The 9,853-nt window shown below is 45.9% G+C and overlaps 1 long non-coding RNA gene across 1 annotated transcript, besides 3 other annotated features; it reads right to left on the bottom strand.

The window, feature by feature from the left end:
• Window positions 16–721: an enhancer, noted in NCBI's record as "VISTA enhancer hs435". NCBI's record gives its function as "enhancer in: midbrain (mesencephalon)[3/3] | forebrain[3/3]" and the evidence as "EXISTENCE:transgenic organism evidence [ECO:0001131][PMID:17130149]".
• On the bottom strand, window positions 41–1,676 carry LOC105377647 (uncharacterized). The gene is made up of 3 exons (XR_940901.2): window positions 1,554–1,676; window positions 849–1,024; window positions 41–335 (listed from the first exon to the last, which is right to left on the bottom strand). It is a non-coding gene; the product is annotated as an uncharacterized LOC105377647 (long non-coding RNA).
• Window positions 2,379–2,978: an enhancer, noted in NCBI's record as "H3K27ac-H3K4me1 hESC enhancer chr3:62362229-62362828 (GRCh37/hg19 assembly coordinates)". NCBI's record gives its function as "activates a minimal SCP1, AML or CMV promoter by ChIP-STARR-seq in naive H9 embryonic stem cells {active_cell/tissue: H9 hESC(naive)}" and the evidence as "EXISTENCE:reporter gene assay evidence [ECO:0000049][PMID:30033119]".
• Window positions 2,979–3,576: an enhancer, noted in NCBI's record as "H3K27ac-H3K4me1 hESC enhancer chr3:62362829-62363426 (GRCh37/hg19 assembly coordinates)". NCBI's record gives its function as "activates a minimal SCP1, AML or CMV promoter by ChIP-STARR-seq in naive H9 embryonic stem cells {active_cell/tissue: H9 hESC(naive)}" and the evidence as "EXISTENCE:reporter gene assay evidence [ECO:0000049][PMID:30033119]".

Consider the following 9,853-nt stretch of genomic DNA (forward strand, 5'->3'; position numbering starts at 1 on the left):
TAATAGATCAGAATTGTTGATTTATGATCGGGTTTCTGAGGCAAAGCCGAGTTCTGCTTCTGGTTTAGGGCTGCGTGCGGGGAGGATTCGGAGGGCAGCTCTCCCAGCTGATGGGTACTTACTGTTTGTATAATTGAGAAGGTCCCATCTCCACCTGTTTAAGGAGCAGATTGAAACAGCAGAACCTCCCCCTGGATCCTATTAAAACGTTTTTCCTCCTAAGGCCATTCAGTCGAACCAATTTTCCGAAGTGATTCATAGAGCTGAATTCTGCCAAGGCAGCTCTTTCACTTTTAGCCACTAAAGCACCGCGTGGAACCGGGTTTTGTGTTTTTCTAAAATAAAGAGAAGGATTATCAGAGAGGAGAGGGAGGGGGCCTGAAGGGGGACGGGCAGAGACTTAGTGTGGCCAGAGGTACAAGCAGAGGGAAGAAAAGACCCTTTTCTAGACAGGCCCCAAGTAAGTTCGGAGGAATTCAGCGTTTTGTGCCTGGCGCACAAAAGCAGCGCGCTCCGCGCTTGGTTTGGAGGGGCTGAATTCATCTGTTTGCAGACCATTCCACCTGCGTATCACAACAAACTGCTCAAAGACGCTCCAGCACTTTCAACAGGCCGGGTGCTCTTGGCGACAACAAAAGTGGTCGAGGCTGAGGGTTCTTACGGAGGGGGGTGGTGGTGGCTAGCAAGAGAGCGAGCGAGAGAATTAGGTTTAGGAAAGGGGGAGGACTGGGTGCAAGGGTTTTTTGAAAAGTTTTGGCTGGTTTTGTTCGCGGGACAATTATATCTTGCTAGCCAGCTTTTGCAAGACCACGAGCTTTGTAGCCGCAATCACAGTTTAAGAGGATTACCGTGGATATAATATGAGCAAACAGGGTTTGATAGTGAATTCCATCTCCAAAGACACACGATCATGTGAAGCCAGAGAAAGTGGTGGTAGAGGTAAACCCTCTGTTTCTTCACCCAGGAACAAGTCTTGAGAGGGCTGAGTATCCTGTCCTAGGCCCCTCCATGCTGCGAAACATCCCTGGAGAACGTTAAGGGACGGGGGAGAAAAGCTCTAGTTTTAACTTCAGGCAAATCGCTCCCTTTTTCCCTTCAATAAAAGTCTCTTTCCTTCTGCCCACCCATCCAGTTGCGGCTCCTTTGAGGTGCAATTTTAGGCAGGATTTGGACATAGCAGGTAAAGGAAGGAAAAGTGTACTTGGAAAGAAAAGAGAGGGAACAGAGAGAGGTCCCTGAGGGAAAGTGGCTTGGAGGTGGACTGCAATAGGCTAATGCTCTCACCCTGCCAAACTCTGAAACTGCCCCTAAATTCCGCAATCATAAGTCTGTTCCCATAACGTCACCCTCCCACCCCCTCCCCAAACTACCAGATTTCTAAGCCAAGAGGCTTGCTCATCTGGAGAAGAACATTTCCATATAGCCCATTTAATTTAGAAGATGTTCAGAGAGACAGAATTCCAGACCCAGGGTACCCCTATCCCTATGTTAATGTGAACACAACAGCACAGATTACTCCCTCCTCCCACCAAACATGAAACAAACCAACTCACCCCAACATTGAAACAATATCAATACACCTGCAGCATCTCAAGACCCGAATTTCTATCCCGACTCTCCTGTGGATCCCGTTTGCCACAAGTACTGCACCCCAACCCTTTTTCCAAATTGGGTAATTGTTGCTCTCCGCAGCAGCTCGAAAGATCTGCTGGTTTGAAAGCTCCATCAGGCTGAAAGGCTTCCAAGGGCTTCCCATGAACCTGCCTTGCCATTTCTATCGCTTTTTGTGGCTGCATAAGCCATCTCTCGCTCTCTCTCCAGCATCACAAAGGAGTGCTACCTCCACAGAAAGAAAACATTTGGGTAAAAACAAGTTGCCCCTAATGTGCCTCTCTTTCCAAATGTTGGGTGAATACACTGGCTTTTATGAAAGTATTTAATTAGCTTCCACAAACTTCTCCTTCCCTCGCCTGCAGATTATATTGAAGTGGAGGGTTGGAAACTATTTTACACCTTGCCACTCACATGTTAATTAATCTCTATCTAACCCTAATTGCAGTTTATTCAAGCACCGCTCAACAGCTCACCCACACAATAAACACTGATCCTACTTTTATACATATTACTTCACGTTAACACATTGAGTAATTAACTCCAGTACCAACTAATAGTGCAAACAAATATTTTCTGTAAACGAGATGATTTCAGGCAGAATAATAGAGGACTGGGGAAATGTGGCGCATGGTGGAGGGAGTGCTGAGATTTCCGTTCGCTGTCCCCAAATCCTCCAAATTCATTCTTATATACAGCATCTTTTTTTTGTTTGCTTTGAGGCTGAACTGCTTTCTTTTTTTCTTTTCTTTTCTTTCTTTTTTTTTTTTAAAGAGGGACAACTATAGAAATTAAAATCTCACAGTTTTAGGGAGTCGGTGGAAGGGTTCTGTGGGATTTGGGGTGACATTTTTTCCACCTACGCATTTTCAGTAAAGGAAAATCCAAAATAACTCGACATGAAGGGCAACATGGGGCTCCAGGGCTGAGCAGATGTTTCAGGGATGTGGATTCATTTATGGAAAATAATGTCATCTTATCCCTCCCTCCCCAAGAAGTCTGTCCCCCAAAGCATGATTTTCCAGTAGAAGTGGGCTGAGGCTATGCTGACATTCTGTAAGTTCCAGTCTCTTTCCCAACCCAAACTGGTACACAAGCTCCACGTTGGAGGTGTTGGTGCCTTCGGGTCAAGAGGAGGACCCAGCAAGCCGCCTGTCCGGGAGGCACGCGGTGGCGGCCCAAGTGAGGCCTACTAGGCCGCAGAACGCGCTCCGCTCCAGGGCAGGAGTCCTAGGTTGCCCTGTGTAATCCCCGGGCGCCCAGGCCCGTGGCCTTCCGATTCGCTCCATGGCGTGGGTTGCAGCCCGTCACGCACGGCCGCCGGGCCCGAATCCACCTTGGCGCCTTCCCTAGCCCGAGGCCTCAGCCCCAGGCCTATTTCACTTGGAGCGCCTCAGCCTAGAGCCGGACGCTTTGGCTTCTTCGCCATCTGGCCCTAGGTTGGGCCTCAAACTCCCGGCGGCGGTAGGGAAACAGACGATCACAGTTAGGCCTGAGGCCCCTCGGCGGCCTGTGTCCTTCCCACGCCGAAGAACAAGGCGCCAAGGCCGGGCGCGTCCGCTGCTCTGCGGGGCCTGACCGGGGCGGCGACCTCTGGGATCCGCGGCGGTGCGACGCCGCGCCCTGGCCAAGCAACCCGCACACCACTGACTGGGGATCCGGGCCCAACCTCAAGGACTGGAGCGCAGTGTTTTAATTGAAATCGCAGGTTTAAGCACAGCTGGCGGCTGTCTATTGATTTTTACAGGAGCTTCTCTTATGGGAAGCATATTAAATATGACTGGCGCGGCTAGAGCTGAGACTCTCCTCCCTCCCCTTCCCTCTGTCCATTTTATGGTCACTAACCCGAAGCACTGTAATGATGACTTTTGTTTAAAAAACATATTTTTTTAAATGCCCGAAATCGCCCTCACTTTAGGACAAATTAGCAGATGCCTTCTTGCGGTGTAGACAACCTCAGAAGAAAATCCCTTTCTTGCGCAAAAAGCTCACACATTTGCACCACGGAAGAAAAAGGCAAGCATTTCCACTCCAAAAAGTGTTCCAATTTCAGCCCCTGTGGCATGCATATCTTGGTTCTGGATGACAAGGGGCACTATTATTTTAAAAACCGTTATTATTTTTTCATCTGGTTGCAATACATAACACAGCGCCCTATGTATGCCATCTCCCCAGGGAGCCGAGCAGCTTGGGAGGAGAAGGCTTGCTTGCGGCTCCCGAGTTTGGGGAAACACGGGCACTGGGGACCCCGCTCCTTCCTGACTTTTTTTTTTTGGGGGGGGGGGAGGAACCAATCCTGAAACAAACAAACTTTATGGTTTAAGGAATGTCTTTTCTTATTCCCTCCCTCCTTCCCTCCCTCCCTCCCTCCTTCTTCCCTCCAGCTCTCCTTCCTTCCTCCTTTCCTTTCTTTTCTTCCTTCTTTCCAAAGGAACATTTAGAATCTGATTTACTTGGTGCCGCGCTTAACCGCTGCTGAAAATAGATTAACTTCTGAAGAGAAATTCTTTTGCTATCCTCTCTTTTTTCCCCAGGAAGCATTTTATTGAAAACATTCGAACTGGCTTGCCCGTGGCGGGCTTGTCCAAAGCACAGGGGCCTCCGCCTTCGGTGCGCGTTGTTCTCAGGATTAGTGCTGTTGGGAGACAAAGAGCCCCAGATACCCGAGGCTGGGAGCGCCGGAGAGCTCCCAGGTTTCGGGTACCCTCCCGGAGCACGCAAGCACAGTCCCAGGCCTTTAGGGACAGATGGGCCAGAGCCGTCTGCATCTGCCCGCATCCTTTGGGAGGCTGCGATGATCGCAGCCAGGGTGGCCGAGCGCCCGGCCCACTGCACCCGGCGGCTGTTTTGCAGCGCCCCTGGCATTCAGGGAATGGTTTGCAAATCTCAATGCACCACAGACTAGTTTTCACCGTGGAGCAGGAAAGGCGCCTATTAGCCAGGGGCAACCGGCTTTGCAGACCTGGGCGGGGGCGTAGGGGGAGGGGCGGTGGTGCAAACCTATCGTGATTTCCAGGATCCTCCCAACTCCCTCCGCTATCACATCAGAGGACATTCGCTGACTCTTCGGAAATCTGGGCAGCGAATACACTTCTAGGCCAGAAGAATTCTCCTAAAAGAGCAGATCTGCAGTCTATCCGTGCAAGCTTAGTACTCTCCTCTCTGCCCTGGATGCATATATATTCACAAACATATATATGCATATCATATATATGCATATTGTTTATATGTATGTATGTATATACTTATATACTATCGGCAACCCATCACTAGAAATGCTATTTAATTAGGAATCTGATCCAATACCCGCGTGCAGCAATTTGCCAGCAGACGTGTCATTTTGTAAGGCGCAGTGAGGGAAGGAAGTCGTCTCGCCTACCTGGGTTTTCCACTTGCTACGCGATTTTGGTGTGCAACCCAAAGGAAATAATCGTTTATAGAGAACGATGATGATGTATTTTTATATATGATATAACACACACATCCGTGTATGCATATTTGAAATTAAAAGGCGTTTTGGTGACTGACTGGCCCTGCGTAGTTGAGAGATGTCGGTTTCCGACTCCCTGGGAAGACGGCTTAGGATCCTCCGCGTTATTTAACTTGGCAGCTGGTTAAACTCCGCGGTGGAGCCTGCCCAAAGGTATTAGCGTTAAGTGCTGAGAGCAGGAGTTAAGCCGGCAGGGAAAAGGGACCGGAAGGGGTACAGGGGTGAGGGAAACCGATTTCAGACTTCCCCCAACTTCTGTAAGTTTGCCAGGCAATGTAGGTCTGAGTTAGATGGTGCATTGAATAAGAACCTGAAGCGTTGTGATCGCTTTGCAAGCGAATCTCTCAGCTCTGTTTTGTTTGTTTGTTTTGTTTGGCTTTGATAAGAACTTCTCGTGTGTACCGGCAAACGGAAAAGTTCTCTCTTGCCCGCATCTCTGGAGCTCTCAGTCGAATCCCATCTTTTCTTTACCTGGGTAAAGATCCCTGATGCTCCACCCCGGGAATTTATAGTCTGACTTAGGTGAAGACAAAATGAGAACTCTAAAATACTGCGAAGAGCACATCAATCAATCAAAAAGGAATCAATCTCTTCTTTCTGCTTCCATCGCTGCCTTCATCACACACACAGACTCTCCCTCTTCGGGGATGAATCTAGGGTAGCAATTAGTAGATGATTACTTATTACTGAGGGCCTATTGTATGCCACAGCACTAAGTTTAATACCCACCCTAGTCAGTCCTCAACATCGTCCTGTGAATCCAGTGTATATAATAGATATCTCCATCACACAAATGCAAAAATTGAGGCTCTTGGAGGCTGGGTAGCATGTCAAAGCTCACGTAACTGGTAAGAGGTTTTCAGAGGTGTACTCCTAAGCACCATACTAAAAACCCAAAACTAAACAACTGGCTTGTGCTGCTGGTGGAATGGAAATAGGGACAAACACTTTGGAAAACTGCATGGCGGTATCTACTATGGTTGAGTGTTTGCATTACTTATGACCCAGCAACACCACTCCTAAGTATATACCAAACAGAAATGAGTACCCGTGTTCACCAAAAGACACGTACTATAATGTTTACAGCAGCACTATTTGTAATAGCCTTAAATTGGAAATTGACTGAATAACCATCAAGAGTGGAACCCATAAATAGTGGTATACTCACAAAATTAAATACTATACATCAATAAGAATCAACAAACTGCTGCTACACTCAGCTTCATGAATGAGTCTCAAAAATAATGTTGAGCAAAAGCAGCCAAATTCAAATACTTGGTACTGCATGATTCCATTCAAAATAGGCAACATTTGGGGACAGAAGAGAGGGGCTTCTGGGGTACTGAGAAAGGTCTGTTTCCCGATCTGGGTTCTGGTTTGTGAATGTTCATCAAGCTATGTACAGTTTATTTGTATACTTTTCTAACTATCTGTTAAATACACTTTTTATATTTCTATATACATATTATAATATCTATATATCTGTTAAATTAGTGAATCATTATGAGTTAGTTTGACTTGCTCCCATCCCTCAAGTCCTCAAAGAGACACTACTCCTCACCTGCCTCTTGAGTTATGCTCTTTTAATTTCTTTCTCTGGACCAGACAACCACATCAATTAATTGGCCTCTCATCTAGACTTTTAAAAATAAACTGCATCCAAACTTCTAACACAGTTGTCTTTGGAGGCAGGCAGTTAATCCAGCTTCTCAGGGAACCTGCAATAAGCTCAAGAATGCTTAATCAAGGGAGCTCATTTGCAGCATTCTTCTCACTCACAACCTCAGCAGAGGGGTGGCAGTTGTGAACTTGAACCTGTACCCCTTGCCCTGGGGTTCTAGGTGAATGACTTCAGGCTAGAGACTGCCTCAAACTTTCCAGAGACATTATCTGGCAGGTTGCCTTTGGAGGTGGAGGATCTGGTTGAGGTCAGGAGGACAGGGTCTGAGATGTTTGTAGGAACTGGCATTAATAGAAAGCCTTGGCAAGTCCTTAGAGCTCAACTCACTGGGTCTTGGCCCTAGACAAGACCAGGGGAAAAAAGACAAAATCTTGGCTCCTTGGCAAGTGACCCAGTTAGCAGAACTGGGAATTTTGCTCTGGGAGAGGGTGGGGAAGTTTATTTTAGCAAGAAAAAGCCTTGGGACACAGAAACCAAACCAAATGCTTGACAATCCCTTTGTGCAAACCCATGGTGAATCCTGCCAGGGACATAGGTTACAAATCCGACTTCGGCACTTCAAGAAAGATACCAAGAACCTACAGCTAAAGCAATTAAGGTGGGGGCAAGGAAAAGGTAAGAGCTGGTGCTCCAATTCACATAAATTAAAAAGATAATTCTTGTCCCGAAAAATTGAAAGGAGATAGGACCTAAGGCAATATAATTCATTCATTAGTTAGCCATCTTGAGCCGTTAGCTATCTTGAGCCTTTCTGTACTGGGTACCATCTAGATGCCAATATATACAGCACTTCCTGAGATAGACACAGTCCCTGCCCTCATGGAACTTACATTCCATCATTCAACCAATAGGCATGCATAAGTAAGTATCCTCTCTAAACCACTATGTGCTGTTATTGGAGTATTGGAGAATGAATGATGAGCATGGTGGGGTGATATAAGACTCTCAAAAAGGGTGGAGTTAAAAAAAAGTACAAGCAACCAGAAATAAACTCAAAGAATTCCCTGGCAGTAAGGTTAACAAATTTTAAAAACTTCTCACTCCAGCAGAAGTTACAGGCTAAAATCACAAATAAAGAGTTTCTGCAGGCATTTCCATGATGTGTGGGTAGATTCACCCTTTGGCAGCTCATTGCTTGGTGCTTTTTCTAGAGACAGATTTCTGGCCTGGGTGGAACTTGGGTCTCCTTGGAGCAGGGCATTTCTTAAAACGTTATGACACAACATAAAACTCCTTCCTGGGCTTTGTAGGGCTAAGTGTCTTTGAGGCAGTGTGGCTTCTGCAATCTGATCAAGACAGAAGCCTTGCTTGTCAGTTCTGTGTGTCCACAGGCAACTTACTAAACCTCTCTGCAAGGCTGAGTTGCCCATCTTTGGCAGGAGAGAAATACCTGCTTCATCATAGGTAAGGACTAAAAGAAAATGCACAGAAGGATCTCAGCGCTGGTGGCTGGCCAATAGAAAGCGGAGTATTCACTATTGTGGTTATAATAACTATTTTGATAACAATGGTTGTTCAGGCTGACTAGAGGACGAGAGGAAAGAAGAGGGCAAAAAAAAATTCTTTCTTATTCTGTTCTTTACTTCTTTTATTTGATTTTGTAAATAAGGTGGGTTTTTTTCTGATTTAAAAAATAATCGATGGAGAAATTTTGGGAAAAGTAGAGAATTACAAAGAAGAGAAATTAAAATTGCACAAATCCTACCACCCAGAAACTGCAGACAAGTCTTTGGTGTATATTCTTTCTATGCATTTACAAGATGACATCATATGATACATACTGCTTTATAATCTGCTTTTCCATTTAATATAGCATGAATATTTTCCCATGCTTTAAATATGCTACTAAGACATTATTTTAATGTCTCTGTAGTACTTCACTATATGTCTTTCACGTGAGTTAGTCCTTTGTCATTGGATATTTAAGATGTTTACAATTTTTTTGCAAGAGTTCCATCGGGAACATTCTCACACATGAATTTTGTGCATAGCTGATCCTGTAGGACAAATTCCCAGAAGCAGAAGTACTATGGTAAAAGATATGCACATTTTTAAAGCTTTAGATACCAACTGACAAACTGCCCTTCAGAAAGGGGATACATATTTAGCCCCACTCCAGTCAGCAGGATGTGACAATTCCTTGTTCCCAGTACCTTCACAAATACTACGTATAATCATTTAAAAAATCCTTACCATTGCCTGAGCCTGGGAGGTGGAGGTTGCAGCGAGCAAAGACTGCGCCACTGCAATCCAGCCTGGGTGTCAGAGGAGACCCTGTCTAAAGAAACAAAACAAAACAAAAGGCTGGGCTCAGTGGCTCACACCTGTAATCCCAGCACTTGGGGAGGCCGAGGTGGGCAGATCACCTGAGATCGGGAGTTTGAGACCAGCCTGGCCAACATGGTGAAACCTACTAAAAATACAACTGGTGAAACTCTACTAAAAATACAAAAAATTAGCTGGGCATGGTGGCGGGTGCCTGTAATCCCACTTACTCAGGAGGCTGAGACAGGAGAATCGCTTGAACCCAGGAGGCGGAAGTTGCAGTGAGCCAAGATCACACCACTGCACTCCAGCCTGGGTAACAGAGTGAGACTCTGTCTCAAAAAAAAAAAAAAAAAAAAAAAAAAATTCCTTACCAATTTGATAGACTCCAAATGGTATCTTATTGCTGTTTATGCCCATATATTCTTACCCAGGGCAGACTTGGGTGCCAAATTACAGAGAACTTAGAATGTAGAAAGAACGGTGCAGACCTAGGTAATAGAAAAGAGGAAGACATGTGGGAAAAGACATCCAGAGAGAGAAGCATCCAGAGAGAGAAGCATCCAGAGAGAGAAGCATCCAGAGAAAAAGGAGACCCGTGTCACATCCCTTTTGGCATGCAGATGTTTCCAGATTACTTTAGGCTTTGAACATTTTCTTGAGTAGCCTTCTCTTCCCTGCTCTTGAGAACCCCGTAGTCAGAAAATGGGCTGCTAACCCTCTACCCACCCTTCCTTCCTTCCTTCCTTCCTTCCTTCCTTCCTTCCTATTTTCTTTCTTTTCTTTTCTTTTCTTTCTGACAGAGT

The sequence above is a fragment of the Homo sapiens genome, chromosome 3, assembly GCF_000001405.40.
Source record: "Homo sapiens chromosome 3, GRCh38.p14 Primary Assembly".
NCBI classification, from domain to species: domain Eukaryota; kingdom Metazoa; phylum Chordata; class Mammalia; order Primates; family Hominidae; genus Homo; species Homo sapiens.